Source organism: Homo sapiens, chromosome 12 (assembly GCF_000001405.40).
Source record: "Homo sapiens chromosome 12, GRCh38.p14 Primary Assembly".
Classification (NCBI taxonomy): domain Eukaryota; kingdom Metazoa; phylum Chordata; class Mammalia; order Primates; family Hominidae; genus Homo; species Homo sapiens.
Window position 1 is genome coordinate 57,941,364 of NC_000012.12, and position 21,255 is coordinate 57,962,618.

At 41.1% G+C, this 21,255-nt stretch overlaps 1 protein-coding gene across 6 annotated transcripts, besides 2 other annotated features; it reads left to right on the top strand.

The window, feature by feature from the left end:
- Positions 73-882: an enhancer, noted in NCBI's record as "H3K27ac-H3K4me1 hESC enhancer chr12:58335219-58336028 (GRCh37/hg19 assembly coordinates)". NCBI's record gives its function as "activates a minimal SCP1, AML or CMV promoter by ChIP-STARR-seq in primed H9 embryonic stem cells {active_cell/tissue: H9 hESC(primed)}" and the evidence as "EXISTENCE:reporter gene assay evidence [ECO:0000049][PMID:30033119]".
- Positions 204-17,785, top strand: ATP23 (ATP23 metallopeptidase and ATP synthase assembly factor homolog). 6 transcript variants are annotated; one of them, NM_001320410.2, is made up of 7 exons: positions 204-525; positions 4,265-4,310; positions 5,632-5,713; positions 9,351-9,521; positions 10,395-10,532; positions 12,243-12,326; positions 15,324-17,785. In NM_001320410.2, the coding sequence occupies exons 5-7, from the start codon at positions 10,434-10,436 to the stop codon at positions 15,525-15,527; spliced, it is 387 nt and encodes a 128-aa protein (NP_001307339.1). In that variant the 5' UTR covers positions 204-525; positions 4,265-4,310; positions 5,632-5,713; positions 9,351-9,521; positions 10,395-10,433; the 3' UTR covers positions 15,528-17,785. The 6 variants fall into 6 exon arrangements, with proteins under 6 accessions (NP_001307339.1, NP_001307337.1, NP_150592.1 ...); NM_001320408.2 differs by lacking the exon at positions 9,351-9,521 and having other exon boundaries at positions 204-565; NM_033276.4 differs by lacking the exon at positions 9,351-9,521.
- Positions 1,339-1,508: an enhancer, noted in NCBI's record as "experimental_29909 CRE fragment used in MPRA reporter constructs". NCBI's record gives its function as "activates a minimal promoter by MPRAs in K562 erythroleukemia cells, with activity observed for both the introgressed and non-introgressed 12:58336570 variant alleles {active_cell/tissue: K562}" and the evidence as "EXISTENCE:reporter gene assay evidence [ECO:0000049][PMID:34662402]".
- Positions 17,786-21,255: the final 3,470 nt, after the last annotated feature.

Genomic DNA, 21,255 nt, shown 5'->3' on the forward strand with positions numbered 1-21,255 from the left:
CGGCAGCCGGGTTGTTACAGCCTTTGAGGGAAGTCGCAAGACCCAGCTCCGCCCAACAGCATCGGGCCCCGCGCCCCGCCCCATGCCCTCGCCCCGCCCCTCATCCCTCGCCCCGCCCCTCGCCTCTCGCCCCGCCCCTCGCCTCTCGCCCCGCCTCCCGCGCTCCCCGTCAGGTTCAAAGCCCCCTCCCGCCTAACGTCTTCAGCCCAGCCAGGCTGCCCTTCTTCCCTGCGGAGGGAGGGCCTGGGCGGTCGCGTTGGCGGGAGGGAGGTTACCTTTCCCAGTCTCGCTCTGGCCGCCTGAGCCAGGAGGAAGCAGCGGCGAGGTCTGCGGGAGGCATGGCGGGAGCTCCGGACGAGCGCCGGCGGGGCCCCGCGGCAGGGGAGCAGCTGCAGCAGCAACACGTCTCTTGCCAGGTCTTCCCCGAGCGTCTGGCCCAGGGGAATCCCCAGCAAGGGTTCTTCTCCAGCTTCTTCACCAGCAACCAGAAGTGCCAGCTTAGGCTCCTGAAGACGCTGGAGACAAGTAGGAGCCATGACCTGGAGGCTGTGGTTCCACAGAATGGGTCTGAGACCGGGTGGGCGAGGAAGGGCCTGGGCAACACCTGGCCAGGGGCTTCAGGTTCAGCACAGAGTCTAGACAGACTGGGCATCATGGGGGCTGGGTTGGGAGCCTGAGGCTCAGTTTCCCCACTAGAGGTGGCGCTGAGACCCTTTTCGTCGCTGTTTTTGGCTTGTGGAATGAATTTGTCTGCCCTTTTTTGTCACTCACTGTTGTGACAGATCCTCCGATTTCTTACATAAGTTATGCAGCCACACTGTGACTTCAGGGTAAGGGTGAGGCCAAGTTTTAAAGTGCCAGCCAGGTTAATTAAGGCACACAAAGGCTGTAAAAATGTAAAAATGTAATTAAGGCATACCAAGGCTGTAAAAATATAAAAGCAGTTTTGCAAACCTACCGTTCCTTGGAAGTGGTTCATGCATGAATGGGCTTCAGAGCGTAGAAATCCCTGAAATGGTCTGTGAAATCGTGTGTATGTGTGTGTGTGTGCCCCTAAGTGCATTTTTTTTTTTTTTTTGAGACGGAGTCTCGCTCTGTCGCCCAGGCTGGGGTGCAGTGGCGCGATCTTTGCTCACTGCAAGCTCCGCCTACTGGGTTCACGCCGTTCTCCTGCCTCAGCCTCCCGAGTAGCTGGGACTACAGGCGCTCGCCACCACACCCTGCTAATTTTTTGTATTTTTAGTAGAGACGGGTTTTCACCGTGTTAGCCAGGATGGTCTTGATCTCCTGACCTCGTGATCTGCCTGCCTCGGCCTCCCAAAGTGCTGGGATTACAGGCGTGAGTCACTGCGCCCGGCCCAAAGTGTATTTTTTTTTGGTCGGGGGAGAGAGTTAATAGCTTCATCATATTCTCAAAGAGGCCAACGACCCCACAAAGGTTAAGAACTGCTGTGGGTTAAACAGGGACACAACTGCCCATTGACAAATTTCTCTCCCGTCCCAGAGACATTGCACTAGAGAAGATTTCTTAATTCCTTTACATTGACATAGACTTCTTAAGTTTACTTTCAGATACATTCAGAAAATTAGTCTTAAACATACTTGTCCCAAAGCAAGGTTACTATTTCATAGCTAGTCAGTCACAGTTCAAAAGTCAACCACCGAAAGATTTTCCAACCTTCTTGGGATTACCTGCTTGTAGAGACTCAGGGAGGTAGGAGGAGGAAGGGGAGTTGAGGGTAAAAGGGGAGAGAATGATGATATTGTATTTACTGTACAAATATGTATTGAGTGCCTCCCAGGTTCTGGTGGGGGAAGTAGAAAGATGAGTTAGCACCCTGCCTTGAAGGTGCTTCAAAGTGGAATAGAGTGGAAAGAGTATGGGTTGCAGAGTTAGATGTGGGTTCAAATGCGGATCCCTTTCCTCAGGTGTGGAAGGTGACTTAACTTCTCTGATCCTCACTATCCTTATTGTAAAAAAAGAGAAGGGGAAAATACCTTTTTTAGGGTTGTTGTGAAGAATAGATTTTATGGGGCTGGGTACGGTGGCTCATGCCTGTAATCTCAGCACTTTGGGGAGCCAAGGCAGGGGGATTGCTTGAGCTCAGATGTTTAAGACCAGCCTGGGTAATATAGGGAGACCCTGTCTCTACAAAAAATAAAAAAAATTAGCTGGATGTGGTGGCTCATGCCTGCAGTCCCAACTATTTAGGAGGCTGAGGCAGGAGATTTGCTTGAACCCAGGAGGCTGAGGCTGCAGTGAGCTGTTATTGCATCACTGCACTCCAGCCTGGGCAACAGAGCGAGACCCTGTCTAAAAAAAAAAAAAGTACTGATTTTATGAATGTAAAGTACCAGCATATCAGGAGCTGAGCTGAATAAATGGTAGCTGTTTTTACAGTGGAAGGGCCACACAGTGGAGGAAGAGTGGAAATAGATAGGATGTGAGGAAGGTGGGGTGCTGAACATGAGCCCCAGTAGGAATCAATGGACCTTGATCTTCCAAGGGCAGGGTGGCTGGGAGGGTCTTTTGGTGGTATTAAAGTGTCAACCTGCAGCTTTAAAATGCTATCCCTGGGTGGGGCGTGGTGGTGGAAACCAGACCTCATGGGAGTCTCTTTTTTTTTTTTTTTTTTCACCAAAGCAATTTTATTCTAAATATTGCTGCAGGTCCTTTTTGAAGTACTAAACCATGGTTTTTTTTTTTTTTAAGTACAAGGACTACAGACTTTTGAAACTGTTTTAATTTTGTAAAATTCTCCTAGTTGCATGAATAATAATGTGCTTAATATGGTGCCTGCTACCTGGTATTCACTCAATAATACGTATTGTTAACAATAATTATTCTACTGTGAACACTCTTGCAAGGGGCAGGTTGGTAAAGCAGTAACCTATACCTGACTTTCTCATCTCACATTTCTTTTTCTCACCTATTTTTGCCTTCAACATTTTTTTTAAACCTTAGTTTCTTTTTCACTTTTTTTGGGTTACATCATATAATTGGCTGTGCATTTATATTCTCAGACAAGATGCCTATGTGAAAAGTTAATATCAGAGGCATTTGGGCTCCTTGTACTTTCCTGTAGTAGTCACGGGCCCATAGAGTCTTAGATGTGGAAGGGCCCTCAGGAATCGTCTAGGCCTCCCCGTCCCCTTACAGGGAAACCTCTGTGCTATTGCTGGCCAGATACTCTACAGACCTCTCCTGGAATACAGTTACCTGTTCCTTGAGGCTCTTTCAATCTACTGTCTATTGTTTCACCAGCTTTAATTGTTGGAGAAAAATCCTTTCTCATACTGAGCTGAAATCTGCCACATGTAACTTCCATACTTTGGTCCTTGTTCTGCCCTTTGAAGAAATATTAACTGAATCTAGTCCCACATGGCACCCCTTCAATACTTGAAAGTAGTGTGGTCCTAGTTAAGTCTTCTGTCTCCTTTCCAACCCCCCAAATCCTTTCTTGCTTCTTACTGGAAATAGTCTGTAGTACCCTAGTCACCATCCCCTGTGGAAGAGCTTCAGTGGCAGGTCCAATTTAGAAGGTGGTAGTACTCAGCATGGGACATGGTATTGCCGGTATGATCTGATCAGGACAGAACAGTGTGGCTACTGGCTTCCTCAAATCTAGGTACTGTGCTGTTGTTCACTTCTAAGAATGTGGCCCTAGATTCCCTCAGTCTTTTGGTATATACCGTAATACAACGTGTTTGATCATTTAACTAAAAATGAACTTTAAAAGCATAGTTGATATTGTCTAAGATGCTTAGTAGTACCATCTTGGTATTTGTATTAGTGTTTTATTTCAGTACAAACTTGCTTTGATGTTGATTTAAGCTTGGCCTCTCATGTCAATTTTTACCAATTTTAAGATAACATTACTTTTTTTTTGAGACAGAGTCACTCTATCGTCCAGGCTGGAGTGCAGTGGTGTGATCTCAGCTCACTGTAATGTCTGTCTCCTGGGTTCAAGTGATTCTCATGCCTCAGCTTCCCAAGTAGCTGGGACTACAGGCGTGTGCCACCATGCCCAGCTAATTTTTGTATTTTTAGTAGAGACGGGGTTTGCCATGTTGGTCAGGCTGGGCTTGAACTCCTGGCCTCAAATGATCCACCCGCCTCAACCTCCTAAAGTGCTGGGATTACAGGCATGAGCCACTGCATCTGGCCTGTGAGTTACTTTTTGATAATATCTTACACTGCTATTTGGGTAGTTTAATTGGTGCTACTTTTCCAATTACTTAATTAAATCAATATCTTTTTTAGATCCATATGTCAAACTTCTGCTTGATGCTATGAAACACTCAGGTTGGTAAGTAACTCTTTTTGAAGTGCTGCTCTGAGGTCTGGCTGCTGAAAACAAAAACCAAGTTCTCTTCTTAAGAGAACTGCTTAAGATTTCTCTGAGGTCACAAAGTCTTTTCCATAGGGTAAATAGAGGTAATTGGCTGCATTGTCTCCGGGCTGGCCTTGTTCTCTTTGGACATTTTCTGCCCTAACTCATGTTTTTTTTTTTTTTTGGGGATAGAGTCTCGCTCTTGTTGTCCAGGTGGGAGTGCGTTGGTGCTGTCTCGGCTCAGTGCAACCTCCGTCTCCCAGGTTCAAGCAATTCTTCTCCCTCAGTCTCCCAAGTAGCTGGGTTTACAGGCGCACGCCACCATGCCCGGCTAATTTTTGTATTTTTAGTAGAAATGGGGTCTTAGCATGTTGACCAGACTGGTCTCGAACTCCTGTCCTCAAGTGATCCACCCACCTCGGCCTCCCAAAGTGCTGGGATTACAGGTGTGAGCCACTGCGCCAGCCCAGCTCATTTTCTAGTTCTTACCATTCACCTTGGGTGATTAATAAAGACAGTACTCAAAATTTTCTTGTAAGTAATTACCAAGCCTGGCCTTTCTGCTACACCAGCCTGAGCACTGTTTTTAATGGAAAAGAAATCTCAGCTTGTTATGTAGGAACCTTGCAGATGTTGTATAACTTTGAGGGGTTTAAAGGAAGTGACTTCTGACATCCACTTCTTAACATTCTGGCCCAAGGGCAGGAACTCCAGCATACTTGCAATATGGCCATAATCAGTTGAACAAATTTTTTTTTTTTTTTTTTTTTTTTGAGACGTAGTTTTGCTCTTTTTTTTTGCCCAGGCTGGAATGCAGTGGCACGATCTCGGCTCACCGCAACCTCCGCCTCCCGGGTTCAAGAGATTCTCCTGCCTCAGCCTCCTGAGTAGCTGGGATTATAGGCGCCCACCACCACCCGGCTAATTTTGTATTTTTAGTAGAGATGGGGGGTTCTCCATGTTGGTCAGGCTGGTCTTGAACTCCCGACCTCAGGTGATCCACCTGCCTCGGCCTCCCAAAGTGCTGGGATTACAGGCGTGAGCCACCGCGCCTGGGGGACAAATGTTTTATGGAATCATATCTATAGAATTTGAACTAGAATGGATTTTGTGTACAACCTCCTTATTTTACAGGTGAGATAACAGTCCTGAAGATGTTGTTTCTTTCCCAAGATTTCCTATGTGTTAGTAGTAGAGGGGATTTACTATATGGTGGAGGGTCTCCTGAGCCCTGGCCCAGGGCTGTTTGCCACATACACACTGTTTCTGGACATTGTCTCCTTTTCTTGCCTTTTAGTGCTGTTAACAAAGATAGACACTTTTCTTGCGAAGACTGTAATGGAAATGTCAGTGGAGGTTTTGATGCTTCAACATCTCAGGTAGGCATTATTGCCAAATTGTTTCCTTCCCTTTAATCCTCTCTCTTTATATTTTTTGAGCATCTTCCACATGCTCGGCATTCTGTTTGGTAGACTTTATGTAGGACTAAAAAAGTGAATTAGTTATCCTTACTCTAAGGAGTTTACTCTTAAAATCTCTTAAGGAGTTTACAGCCTTACAGGAAAGATAAGACATGAACACAGATAATTATAAAATGAGGCAAGCTAAACCATTTTAGGTGGGCTTGGTTACCACAATGGAACAGTGATGTGATCGATTGAAAGATGCCAACAGATTCGACTAGAGGATATAAAGCCTCCTTAGGGGCAGAGCAGGGACAGAGCAGGGGCAGCATGAGCAAAAGTGCATGCTACGAAACTGCATGGCATGTGTAGGGAATGGCATATTGTCTAGTTTATCTGGAGGGCAGGAACATGTGGGGAATGAGGGAAAATAGGATTGGAAGGAAATGTAAGCCCTATGGTGGGAGGTTTTGAATGCTAAATTAAAGGGTTTTTACCTTTACGTGGTGAGAATTGATACTGCCTGTGAAAATTTTTTATTAGGGGAGTTTTCTAATCTGTACAATTTGGGCAACGATTGTATCTATTTTATGGAATGATTATGAGAATTAAATGAGATATCTCTTATAGAGTTGCTTATCTTAGTGCCTGGCCCATAGTAAGCATTCAATAAATTTTATTATTAGTTTTAAGTCATCAGAGAGTTTCGACAGAGTCTTGGAGGTGGTAGATAATGTCATGTGATCAGGGTAAATGATGGTGTTATAAGTAACTGTTTCCCACTTGAATGTATAATTCATACTTAACTACACTTAACTGTTTCCTGCTGGATAATTTTGTATGTATTTAGGTTATTTATAGCATTTTTACAGTAATCATGTGAAGTGGCAATATAGAACAAGGATGAGAAGTCTAGATTTTGGAGTCAGACTTGAGTTCAAATCCTAGTTTCCTTGCTTATTATCTGTGGGGCTTGGGCAAGTTATTTTTCTTCTTCTCAGTTTCCTCATTTGTAAACTGGTAATCACAATACCTATAGCTCTCAAAATGGCTCTGGATAAGTTCACTCCCTTCTCGGTCCCCCCAGGGTTAAACAGAGTGCACATCTTGAACTTTCATCCTAATTCTCAGCAGTGTTGAACACAGTTGGGCACCCTCTCCTTTTATTTTATTATTATTTTTTAAATTATTATTATTTTTGAGACAGAGTCTTACTCTGTCACCCAGGCTGGAATGCAGTGGTGCAATATGGGCTCACTGCAACCTCTGCCTCCTGGGTTCAAGTGATTCTCCTGCCTCAGCCTCCTGAGTAGCTGGGATTGCAGGCATGTGCCACCATGCCCAGCTAATTTTTGTATTTTTAGTAGAGTCAGGGTTTCACCATATTGGCCAGGCTGGTCTTGAACCCCTGACCTCAGGTGATCCACCCATCTTGGCCTCCCAAACTGCTAGGATTACAGGCGTGAGCCACTGTGCCTGGCCTATTTTTTTAAATGAAAATTTTTATTATGAAGTATCTCATTCATACAGAAGAGTAAAACATCTATATGTACACTTTCAGTAATAATAAAGTGCACACCTATGTAACCACCACCCAGACTAGAGAAAAAGAACATTACTAGGACTTCAGAAGCCTTCGTGGTCCTCTTGAATCAGGTCCTTTTCCCTTCCTTATCCTGACTTTTGTGGTAACCATTCCCTGCTTTTCTGAATGGCTTTACCATCTACATATACAATCCAACAGTGTGTTATTTAGTTGCCTGCTTTTGAGCTTTATACATGTTATACTTTGAATTTTATGTAGCATTTTGTAGTATTATGAAATTGTACAGTATATAGTCTCCAATTACTTTCCACCTTCAGCATTTGTGAGATTCTTTCTTGTTGTTGTGTGTACCTCTCTGGTTTATTTCGTTTCCCTGTTATATGGTATTTATTCCGTTGTGTGTTTATACTATAGTTTACTCTAATATTGATTGTTTCCAACTTTGTTATTATGAACAATGCTGCTATGAATATTTTTGACCTTCGCTACTGGTGCACATGTGCAAGAGTTTCTCTAAGGTATATGCTCAAGAGCAGAATTACTGGGTCATATAGTTTGTATACACTTGACTTCAGCTGTTAATGCCAAACACTTTCTTTGGTTTCTAGTATACAGCACTCTTCTGGTTGCTCCTTTGCTAGCTTACCTTCCTCTACTAGCATTTAAATGTCAAAGTCCCTCAATCCTTGGTCATAGAGCCCCTTCTTTTCTTACTCTGCCAAGGAGGTCTCATCAATTTTCTGGGGTCAAAGCTCACTTTTAAGAACTCCACATTCCATATATCCAAGTGCCCATTTAACACCTCTACTTGAGCATCTTTTTATTTATTTATTTATTTTTATTTTTAAGGAAAAAAAGTTTTTTTGGGACAGGGTCTTGCTCTGTCGCCTAGGCTGGAGTGCAGTGGCGCAATCATGGCTCACTACAGCCTTGAACTCCTGGGCTCAAGCAATCCTCCCATCTCAGCCTCCTGAGTAGTTGGGACTACAGGAGTGCATCACTGGACCCAGCTAACTTTTAAAATTTTTTGTAGAGATGAGGTCTCACTATGTTGCCCAGGCTGGTCTTAAACTCCTGGCCTCAAATGATCCTTCCATTTCAGCCTCCCAAAGTGCTGGGATTACAAGTGAGAGCCACTGCTCCCCACCTACTTAAGGGTCTTAAGGACACTTCAGACTTGAAATGTGTAAGTCCAAATTCATGATTTTTACCATCCCCCATCTCCCCACTCAACCCAGTCTTTTAGTTTTGCATATCTCAGTGGATGGTGCTACCATCGACCCTATTAGCCAAGCCAGAAATTTATGGATCATCTTTGATACCCCTGATTCCTTCCCCGTATTCTATCAACATATTTTGTCTAATTTACCTCCTAAATAACTCTTTTGGCTTCCACCACCATTCTAGCTGAAGTGCTGTTCTCTCTTGCCTAGAATATTAGCCTTCAGCTAATTTCTCTGCATCCAGTTTTGGCCATCTCCTGCCTATTCTTCCAACTATAGTTAAAAGGATAAAAGCAAAATAAAACAAAAGCAGTCTTCTGTTTCAACATTCCCTTTATCCTGAGAGCTTCCCATTGCTCTTAGGGTAAAGACAAGGTCTTCAGGGATTTGGCCCCCCGACCTCACCAGCCGTATCTGTTGCCTACCACCCCCACCGCTGTGCTTCAACTCTAGGGCTCTCCTTTTAGCTTCTCAAGCATTTTCTTCCGTCAACCCTCCCTCTACGCTTTGCATAGGTTTTTCTCTCTGCCTAGAATACTCCCTTCCCCTCCACACCTCAAATTTCACTTCTATTCCTCCATTAGATACCAGTTTAACCATTCCTTCCACAGAGAAACCTTCCCCCACCTCCAGAGTAGGTCAGGCATTCTTTCTTTTTCTTTTTTTTTTTTTTGACACAGGGTCTCCCTTTCTTGCCCAGGCTGGAGTTCAGTGGCGTGTTCCTGGCTCACTGCAGCACCAACCTCCTGGGCTCAAGTGATCCTCCTACCTCAGCCTTCCAAGTAGCTGGGACTATAGGCATGTGCCACCATGCCTGGCTAATTTTTATTTTATTTTTTTATAGAGATGGGGTTTTGCTCTGTTGCCCAGGCTGGTCCCGAACTCCTGGGCTCAAGGAATCTGCCTGCCTCAGCCTCTCAAAGTACTGGGATTATAGGCATGAGCCACTGCACCCAACCTCATTGTATATGCTCATGACAACCTGGGTTTTTCTTCATGACAACTGTCATTGCATGTATGTAAACATTTTGGTAAATATTTGGTTAGTTTCTATCTCCATCAGTAGATTATAATCTATTATTAGGTCTCAATAAGTATTAGTTGAATCAATGGATGTTGAATGAATGTATATAAATATCTGGCACATATCCCAGTGTCTGGCAGTAGTACACAATCAATGGCAGCTATTACTATTAGGATCCCTTGTGTCTTTCTTATTCTTATAGGGTCCTGCTCAGTGTGCTGTTGTGTTTTGCACTTCTTTCTGAAGGTCTTTCTGATGAGTTTTCCCTGGCATTTGCCCTCATTCTAGTAAAATGAGGACAGTGGTGGTCATTCCTTTTTCATTCAATGCTCATTCAGAAACTTGATAAGAAGTATTTTACATATATTCTCATTTAATTCTCACAGTTCTATGAGGTAGCTACCCTAATTATCTCCTTTTTATAGTTGAGGAAATTGAGGTACAGAGAGATTAAGAAACTTGCCTAAGGTCACTGAGTTAGTAAGGGGTGGAGCTGGAATTTGAATCTGTGTGCTTCATTCCAAAGCCCACTCTCTTAACCATAATGCTGTGGAGTCCGAGACAGACTAGTACGATCAGCCCAGTAAGGATGGTGTGTGAATACGTGTCCTTAATCTAAGTACTGCTGTAGTCCAGAGAGAGGAGAAGGGAGAAGTTAGTCACTGGGCGAGGCAATTGGAGCATGTACACTTAGGACTAGGACTTGTCCCATGGGTAGATGTGTGGCCAATGAAGAAGAGTGGGTAGAGATATTCCAGGCAGGTGAGCTTGTGGGGGAGAGGTGAGGTCATGTGGGAGAGAAGATCGAGTCTATGGAAGGAGATTTTAGAATCACTGAACTTCTTTTATTTTGGTGTCTCCTAGATAGTTTTGTGCCAGAATAATATCCATAATCAGGCCCATATGAACAGAGTGGTCACACACGAGCTTATTCATGCATTTGATCATTGTCGTGCCCATGTCGACTGGTTCACCAACATCAGACATTTGGCGTGCTCAGAGGTGAGTTTTATTGTATTTTTCTCCAGAATACTCTATGCTTGAATATTTTATTCAAGTGTAATTTATTTAAATGTATTCCTTTTCTTACTGTCATAGTTCTACCTTAGTCTTGAATTTCGGTTTATAACTAACATTGAATACCATTTTTGATATACAGTTAGAGAAATTTAAAGTGTATTTTTAGAATTCTCTTAACTATATCCTGTAAGTCCTAGTAATAGTGATGACTGACTTTAATAAGCTATTAATTTTTTCCTATGGAATATATTTTATAATGTATTCCATAGGAGACATTAATAATAAAAATAAAAATAAAAAAATAATTAAAATTTACTGAGGGCTGTGTTCCAAACACTGTTCTGTTTGCACAGATTCTTATTTAATCTTCACAATAACCTACTGAGATAGATATTATACTATTATTGTCCCTGTTTTACATATGTGGAAAGTGAGACAGTTGTTTAGATTCCAAAGTTAGTAAGTGGTAGAGGCAGGATTACAACTAGTGTTTTTAACTAGCTTGCCCAGCTGCCTTCCATAGAGCTCCTTGCTTGCCCTAGAGTAAAACATGCTCTTTTCAAAAATACAACATAAAAAGATATTTATTACTAAGCACGTTGGATTGCTCTTGGAATATGCTCCTAGAGAGAGCGTATTCTGCATATGCATATACTTGGATGTCATTAATTGAAGAGTTAATTAAAATAATCTAAATCTCAAGCCTATACTATATAACTTCGATTATTTCCCTTTCTCTTGAAATTAATATGTAGCCCCCTGCATCTAATTATAATTCCAATTATTTGGAGAATAGACTGAAACCTGAATTTTTAAATAGGTCTCTTTCTTGGGTACTGTGAGAATTAATGCCTTTTAGCTAGTTAAAGTGTGTTAAGTACTTTGAGCTCCTCAGAGGAATGAGGCCATAATATTGAAGAAGGAACAAGAAGTGGGCCATTCTGTTAGCAATGAATTAGCAAAAATGTGGTCAAGCTGCCTGTAGAATCTATGTGGGTAGTTCTAAGACTTTTTCATTCATTGAAGTATAGTAAATCTGAAAATATGTCCTAATTTCAGGCTGTCATGCTCATAGCGTGACCAGTTTGGAATGTTCTTGATTCTTTGTGTTTTGTATTGCTTCATTTTTCATAGGACAATCAAGTCCCTAGAGGAAGGTCATGAACTTATATAGGTTTGAGGGAAGCTCCAAGGGAGATTCGGGCAAGGGTTGGGAGGGGCATATTCTCAAAGTGTCTCAGATATTAATGCATTCAGTTTTAAGGTCACATTGAAACTCAGTTTATTTCAAGAATGCTTTCTTGAAGTACTTTTGGCAATTTCTACAAGTATTTGTATCTTGTAGAGTGTGTAGTTTAACTCTGAGGTCTAGCTCTCTGACTTTTGGTTCCAAAAGAAATTAGTTCTGTCAGTAAAGCTACGCATAAAGTTTAGAAAATTTCCTTTGGTAGGCGATTGAACTTTTCCCCATCTCTCCAGTGTATTTGGCATTGTCTAGCATAGCTCATAGATATTTGCTCTCGTTGTCAATAGAGTTTAAAAAGTCCTTTAAGAAGAAGTGTCACAAATACTCTTTTCTCAGACAAAGATGCTAATTTTATATTCTTTTCTAATTTTTAAAAATTGGTTGATATCATAAAGATATATAGAGCATGAGCGTTTATTTCTTTTTATTTGTCTTCTGTGTGATAGGTTCGAGCTGCTAACCTTAGTGGAGACTGCTCACTTGTCAATGAAATATTCAGGTTACATTTTGGATTAAAACAACACCACCAGGTAAAAACTAATATGAAATCACTTCCCCTCCAGAGTGTTACGAGTGGAAATAATGAATAAAGAAATGAAAAGTACATTCAGTATTTGAAATTTGAAAGAACTTCGTATGTGAAAAGAATACAAAGTATGTACCATTTAAACAAAGTAGATGGAATTTAGTTCTACTTTGTAATTATGGGCAAGCTATGTGACTCAATGAGTGTGTGAGATAGTCTAATAATGAAAAGAGGCCTGGTGCGGTGGCTTATGCCTCCCAGCAGTTTGGGAGGCCGAGGCGGGCGGATCACGAGGTCAGGAGATCGAGACCAGCGTGGCCAACATGGTGAAACCCCGTGTCTACTAAAAATACAAAAAAATTAGCTGGGCGTAGTGGAGCACACCTGTAGTCCCAACTACTATGGAGGCTGAGGCAGGAGAATCACTTGAATCTGGGAGATGGAGGTTGCAGTGAGCCGAGATCATGCCACTGCACTCCAGTCTGGGCCACAGAGTGAGACTCCATCTCAAAAAAAAAAAAAAAAAAAAAGGAGCTAAGATCTTGCATCTGGGATACTTTTCGATGGGGGTGGATAAGGAATGGAAGTGAAATCACAGCATGTCTTACTGTTATTCTAACAATTCTTGACTTCTATTTTGAATCTACCATAGCATTCTGGAGACAAAAGATGTAATCCCTTTCAGAACAGAGAGTGTGTTGCTGCACAAGTTATGGCTATGTGTCAGTGTACCTGTAAAGGCTATATAATGTGATAGAAAACCTTTGGCTTAGCACAGACTTGAGTATGATGAGCTTAGCTGAGAGGGATTTGTGTGAACAAAACAAAAACAAAAAACAAAAGAGAGCTATAAGGCAAGATTATCCTGGTAGAAAGGCTTTGAGATCTGTATTAGGTGGACGTGGGGAAAGAAAGTATAGGACTCATGGATTGATAATGAATGTGAGCAGTTCTGCCTGGGCCTGTGTCCACATTTAGGAGAAAGGCTGGTCAGTCATTTTCTACAGTAAGAGCCTGCTGAGTCAGTTTGTGAAGTATATGAGCATCACGATATCAGTTCCAACTAGATGAAAAAAGATAGGCTTAGGACAACAGGAAGGCCCTTGGTTTTCTGGAGAAGAGAGTAACTCAACTCTGGAGTGGGGGGTGGAAAGTCACAGTGAGCTACTCAGAAATTGTGAACTTAGTGAATGGGAGGGAGAAGAAAAGCCTTCTGCCTGGAAAGGGTGATTACTCTAGACAGTGAGGTGTTCAGCCTCTGCCAGGTCAGCTTAGTGATATGCCAGTGACTTGTCTTGTGCTGCATGTTTTCTGTGCCCTTGAGTCCCTGCTTCTCTGGTGAATTCTGTGTGTTCTGGCTGTCAGTGGAGAGGGTGGAAGCAGGGTACACATCAGCACGCCCCTAGAGAAGAGAATAATGTGGTTAAAGCATGTGCTGGCATAGCTTATGGATATCTGCTCTTGTCAATAGAGTTTGAAAAATTCCTTAAAAAAAAAAACTATTACATATACTCTGTTTTTAGAAAAATATGCTAATTTTATATTCTTTTCCAATTAAAAAAAAATCAGTTGATATACTAAAGAAATAGAGCATGTTTTTTTTTTTTTTAATTCACCTTCTATCTTTGTGATAGGTTTGTGATGCACACAATCTTTGAAAGAGGAAGTTTTCCTCTTTTTACCATTGGGTAGCAGCAGCAGAAAACAAATAGAAACAGCAATAGGACAGAAAATAAGTGGAGGTAGTAGGAATCTGGCTGAGGGAGAAGAGTCTTAGAGAATGGAGTCCCTGCTTTTGTACAGCATGTACCCAGGAAATAGAAACAGCAAGTACAGTTACTGATTGTAAAATTGCATAGTCATATCTTTATTTTAACAGAAATTTATTATGTCTGAAAAGAAGTAAATCTGTGGTCTACACTTGTGTCTCCCAACCCTGTGGCTTCAGGAGACAAATTTTTGTACCTTTTTTCCCTGGAGGGGAGAAATTTCCTCTCTTTTTAGCAACTGTTGTTTTGGCTTCACATGGTTCTTCCTTTTCTTGTTCCTTTATGCCTGGGGTTTATTTTTTAAAATCAGCGTTTAGTAAAATTCAGGTTGAGAAACACTATATTCCAATGTTAGTGAATATCTCCAGCTTGAGCACACTGACCAGGCCAATGAAAAACTGGGAACATGTGGAGAAAACGGATGGCTGTCAGGATGCACAGCCATCCAAACCAGTGTTTGATTATTTTTAGGAAAAGGTCAAATGCCATTCTTTTGAGTTTTAGATTGGTCCTGGGGAGAAATAAATGGATTAAAAGCTCTCCAAGAATTGGAATGGCAGGGCCTTATATTTCTTAAATATTTAAATTAGAGTATTGAGAAATTCTAGCCTATTACTATGAAATGTTAGGTAAATTATTATCTTAGAACTTTAATATCTGTGTAAAGAACAATCAGGAAAAAAAAGTTGTTTAATTTCCACACCCCCTAAAAAATTAAGGTACATTCCAAGTTCGGGTGGATATGTGTATGGTTTCCTGTTGCCTCCAGAGAGGACTTACCCTTCTCAAAGGAAAAGTTATCTAGCATTGGTCAACTGAAAAGAAAGAGAGGTACAGAAGTGAAGTATATTTTAAATTTAATTAAATTTTATCAAAAAGTCAATCAGGACTTTATAGACTTTTTTTTTTTTTTTGGCGAGTTTGCAAATTGGGAGATATTGTTTGGCAGACACTGCCAAGAATTTCTGAGAATGACATCTGCTTATATCAGTGGGAAAGATGAGAAAATGGAGAAGGTCTTACTTATGCCTAAATAATTTTAGGTTGAGCTAAAAATACTCCTTAAGTGTTATGGATCTTTGTTCATTTTGTTTTCTTCTTTGGAATGACAGAAATTAGTAAAATAATATGAGGAAATTAATTTTAATTAATTCAGACATTAGATAAAATGTATTATTTCGTGATTAAATGTTTATATAAAATTAGAGCCTCATACTTTTCCTTCTTTTTAGACTTGTGTGCGAGACAGAGCCACTCTTTCTATCCTGGCTGTTAGGAATATCAGCAAAGAAGTAGCTAAAAAGGCTGTTGATGAAGTTTTTGAATCTTGTTTCAATGACCATGAACCTTTTGGAAGGATCCCACATAACAAGACTTATGCAAGATATGCTCACAGAGACTTTGAAAACCGTGATCGGTATTATTCAAATATATGAGCACAATGACATTTTTATATTACAGAGCTTCCATCATCATGAAGAAAAAAAAATTTGGTTCTCAAGTGAACAAACATATAAAATGTAAACAATCCCTACAATCCAGATAAAACAGAGAAGACTGTGATTCTAGCATATTATCAGAAAAAGTAACTATGGCAAAAAATGAAACTGCTTTAAACTCCAAGGCAGAAATTGTATCTTTATAGCTAACCATTTAGTAAATAAATACATTACATTTTTGTATTTTAGTCATTTGTTTTTATTACATGTGATTATTTTAAAATTTGATTATGAAACCTGTGAAGTGTGCTCTTCCATGATGTTGATAGGTGACCACTGTTGGTATTTACATTAAATGTAAAGAAATGTGTACTGATCTCATTGTAGGATACTTATTGAGCTGTTGTTATGATGAAAATTGGAAATAATTCATTCAGTGGTCAATGCTATCCTCTCCCTATTCTTCTTTTATCATATATGTGGGACCCATATGGCCTAATTTTCTGGGGACAGTCCTGGTTAGATCTTTTTCTTTTTAATAAAGGCAGTGCTCGAATTTTAGCTCCAGATCGACTGCAAGAACAAACCAGCAATACTGAGAGGACCCACAGACCCTCTGAAGGAAGCGACTGCTCCTACAGTGCCCAGGAGACACCCCAAATACTGTGAGTGCCCAACTGCAGAAGTGGGAAAGGGAGACCCTCCTCTCCCACACACACCCCCCCACTGGAGAAACTGAAGGTCTGTTTGTGGGAGAAGTTTCCGACCTTACCTGGAGCTGAGTTAATTTAGAGAGCCGAGCGAAATACAGGGGTAGAGCAAGCAGCAGGAAGGCCCAGGGAGCTCGCTGGGTCCCCAAGCAGCCCATTCCTGCCTGTCACCACAGAGATCCATTGCAAGGGCAGCCAGAAGAGCAGCGGGTAAAACTCCACAGGGAGAAGGACATCTCTAGCTGAACTTTGTAACTATTTCAATGGGGCAAGAAGCCTCCCGGCCAGAACTTGGGAGAGGGCACAAATCCCATGTGCAGAATCCACAGAGGGGAAGAACCAAGCTCTTTTCTTTCACAGCTGGGAGGTGGGTAGCCTGGGGCAAGTTTTCAAGCCTGTCTCACCCACCACCTGGAAGCAGACTTGGGGCTGTGGTGGGGGGCATGGTGGGAGTGAGACTGGCCCTTCGGCTTGTGTGGGAGCTGGGTGAGGCCTGTGACTGCCGGCTTTCCCCTACTTCCCTGACAACCTGCATGACTCCCCAGAGGCAGTCATAATCCTCCTAGGGACACAACTCCAGTGACCTGGGAATCTCACCCTCATCTCCCACAACAGTCACAGCAAGACCTGCCCAAGGAGAGTCTGAGCTCAGACATGTCTATCCCTGCCCCGACCTGATGTTCCTTCCCTACCCACCCTGGTATCTGAACAAAAAGGGCATACAATCTTGGGAGTTCTAGGGCCCCACTCACCACAAGTTCTTCTCCATACTACCACAACTGATGCTCTCTGGAAAGCGCTACCTCCTGGCAGGAGGCCAGCCAGCACAAAAATAGAGCCTTCAACCACCAAAGCTAAGAACCCTCATGGAGTCCATTGCACCCCCCCTGCCACCTCCACTGGAACAGGTGCTGGTATCCACAGCCGAGAGACCCATAGACGGTTCACATCACAGGATTCTGTGCAGGCAACCCCCAGTACCAGCATGGAGCTGGGTAGACTCACTGGGTGGCTAGACCCAGAAGAGAGACAACAATCACAGCAGTTTGGCTTACAGGAAGCCACATCCATCGGAAAAGGGGGAGGGTATACATCAAGGGAACACCCTGTGGGACAAAGGAACCTGAACAATGGCCTTCAGCCCTAGACCTTCCCTTTGACAGAGACTACCCAAATGAGAAGGAACCAGAAAACTAACCCTGGTAATATGACAAAACAAAAGCTCTTTAACACCCACAAAAAAATCACACTAGTTCACCAGCAATGGATTCAAACCAAGAAGAAATCCCTGATTTACCTGAAAAAGAATTCAGGAGGTTAGTTATTAAGCTAATCAGGGAGGCACCAGAGAAAGGCAAAGCCCAGTGCAAGGAAATCCAAAAAATGATATAAGAAGTGAAGGGAGAAATATTCAAGGAAATGGAGAGCTTAAAGAAAAAAGAATAAAAAATTCAGGAAACTTTGGACACACTTTTAGAAATGCAAAATGCTCTGGAAAATCTCAGCAATAGAATTGAACAAGTAGAAGAAAGAAATTCAGAGCTTGAAGACAAGGTCTTCAAATTAACCCAATCCAAAAAAGACAAAGAAAAAAGAATAAGAAAATATGAACAAAGCTTCCAAGAAGTCTAGGATTATGTTAAGTGACCAAAACTAAGAATAATCAGTGTTCCTGAGGAAGAAGAGAATTCTAAAAGCTTGGAAGACATATATGGGGGAAATAATCAAGGAAAACTTCTCTGGCCTTGCGAGAGACCTAGACATTCAAATACAAGAAGCACAAAGAACACCTGGGAAATTCATCACAAAAAGATCATTGTTTAAGTACATTGTCACTAGGTTATCCAAAGTTAAGATGAAGGAAAGAATCTTAAGAGCTGTGAGACAGAAGCACCAGGTAACCTATAAAGGAAAACCTATCAGATTAACAACAGATTTCTCAGCAGAAACCCTACAAGCCAGAAGGGATTGGGGCCCTATCTTCAGCCTCCTCAAACAAAACAATTATCAGCCAAGGATTTTGTATCCAGTGAAACAAAGCATCATATATGAAGGAAAGATACAGTCTTTTTTCAGACAAATAAGTGCTGGGAGAATTCACCACTACCAAGCCACCACCACAAGAACTGCTTAAAAGGAGCTCTAAATCTTGAAACAAATCCTGGAAATGCAACACATCAAAACAGAACCTCTTTAAAGCATAAATCACACAGGATCTGTAAAACGAAAATACAAATTAAAAAGCAAAAGTAAAAAACCAAAATACAGAGGCAACAAAGAGCATGATGAATGCAATGATACCTCACATTTCAATTATAACATTGAATGTAAATGGCCTAAATGCTCCACCTAAAAGAAATAGAACCACAGAATGGATAAAAACTCACCAACCAACTATCTGCTGCCTTCAGGAGACTCACCTAACACATAAGAACTCACATAAACTTAAACTAAAGGGGTGGAATAAAGCATTTGATGCAAACGGACACCAAAAGTGAGCAGGGGTGGCTATTCTTACATCAGACAAAACAAACTTTAAAACAACAGCAGTTAAAAGAGACAAAGAGGGACATTACATAATGGTAAAAGGCCATGTCCAACAGGAAAATATTACTGTCCTAAACATATATGCATCTAACACTGGAGCTTCCAAATTTATAAAACAATTACTAATAGACCTAAGAAATGAGAGACAGCAACACAACAAGAGTGGGGGACTTCAGTACTCCACTGACAGCATTAGACAGGTCATCAAGACAGAAAGTCAACAAAGAAACAAGGGATTTAAACTATAACTTGGAACAAATGGACTTAACCGATATATACAGAACATTTCATGCAACAACCACAGAATACACGTTCTATTCAACAGTGCATGGAACTTTCTCCAAGGTAGACCTTAGGATAGGCCATAAAATGAGCCTCAATAAATTTAAGAAAATCAAAATTATATCAAGCACTCTCTCTGACCACAGTGGAATAAAACTGGAAATCAACTCCAAAAGGAACCATCAAAACCATGCAAATACATGGAAATTAAATAACTTGCTCCTGAATGAGTATTGGGTCAAGAACGAAATCAAGATGGAAATTAAAAAATTCTTTGAACTGAATGATAATAATGACACAACCTACCAAACCCCTGGGATAAAGCAAAGGTGGTGCTAGGAGGAAGGTTCATAGCCCTAAATGCTGATATCAAAAAGACTAAAAGAGCACAAACTGACATTCTAAGGTCACACCTCAAGGAACTAGAGAAACAAGAACAAACCAAACCCAAACCCAGTAGAAGAAAGAAGTAACCAAGATCAGAGCAGAACTAAAGGAAATTGAAACAGCAATAACAACAACAAAAATACAAAAGATAAATGAAACAAAAAGCTGGTTCTTTGATAAGATAAGTAAAATTGATGGACTATTAGCAAGATTAACTGAGAAAATAAGAAAGAAAATCCAAATAATTTCACTAATAAACAAAACAGGAGATATTACAACTGACACCACTGAAATACAAAGGATCATTCAAAGCTACTGTGAACACCTTTATGCACATAAACTGGAAAACCTAGAAGAGATGGATAAATTCTTGGAAAAACACAATCCTCCTAGCTTAAACCAGGAAGAATTAGATACCCTGAACAGACTAATAACAAGCAGCGAGATTGAAATGGTAATTAAAAAATTACCAACAAAAAAAGTCCCGGACCAGATGGATTCACAGCAGAATTCTACCAGACATTCAAAGAAGAATTGATACCAATCGTTTTGACACTATTCCACAAGATAGAGAAAGAAGAAACCCTTCCTAATTCATTCTATGAAGCCAGCATCACCCTAATACCAAAATCAGGGCAGGACATAACCATAAAAGAAAACTACAGACCAATATCCTTGAAGAACATAGATGCTAAAATCATTAACAAAATACTAGCTAACTGAATTCAACAACATATCAAAAAGATAATCCACCATGATTAAGTGGGCTTCATACCAAGGATGCAGGGATGGTTTAACATACACAGTTCAATAAATGTGATACACCACACAAACAATTAAAAACAAAAATCATGTGATCATCTCAATAGATGCAGAAAAAGCATTCAACAAAATCCAGCATTGCTTTATGATTAAAACTCTCAGCAAAATGGGCAGACAAGGGACAGGTATGTCCCTTGTAATAAAAGCCATCTATGATAGACCCACAGCCAACATAATACTGAGTGGGGAAAAGTTGAAAGCATTCCCTCTGAGAACTGGAACAAGACAAGGATGCCCACTCTCACCACTCCTCTTCAACATAGTACTGGAAGTCCAAGCCAGAGCAATCAGACAAGAGAAAGAAATAAAGGGCATCCAAATTGGTAAAGGGAAAGTCAAACTGTCACTGTTTGCTGGTGATATGATTGTTTACCTTGAAAACTCCAAAGACTCCTCCAGAAAGCTCTTAGAACAGATAAAAGAATTCAGCAAAGTTTCTGGATACAAGATTAATGTACACAAATCAGTAGCTCTTCTATATACCAACAGCAACCAAGCAGAGGATGAAGTAAAGAACTCAGCCCCTTTTACAATAGCTGGGGAAAAAAAAAAAAAAAAAGGAATATATCTAACCAAGGAGTCAAAATAGCTCTACAGGGAAACTACAAAACACTGCTGAAAGAAATCATAGATGATACAAACAAATGGAAACATCCCATGCTCACGAATGGGTAGAATCAATATTGTGAACATGACCGTACTGCCAAAAGCAATCTACAAATTCAATGCAATCCCCATCAAAATACCACCATCATTCTTCACAGAATTAGGAAAAGCAATTCTAAAATTCATATGGAACCAAAAAAGAGCCTGCATAGCCAAAGCAAGACTAAGCAAAAAGAACAAATCTGGAGGCATCACACTACCTGATTTCAAACTATATTATAAGGCCATAGTCACCAAAACAGCATGGTACTGGTACTGGTATAAATAGGCACATAGACCAATAGAATAGAATAGAGAACCTAGAAATAAAC

Coding starts and splice junctions, on each gene's coding strand:
- ATP23 (NM_033276.4), top strand. CDS start 339: ATGGCGGGAGCTCCGGACGAGCGCCGGCGGGGCCCCGCGGCAGGGGAG. Junction 4,311..5,631: donor GCTATGAAACACTCAGGTTG/GTAAGTAACTCT, acceptor CTTGCCTTTTAG/TGCTGTTAACAAAGATAGAC. Junction 10,533..12,242: donor GACATTTGGCGTGCTCAGAG/GTGAGTTTTATT, acceptor TCTGTGTGATAG/GTTCGAGCTGCTAACCTTAG.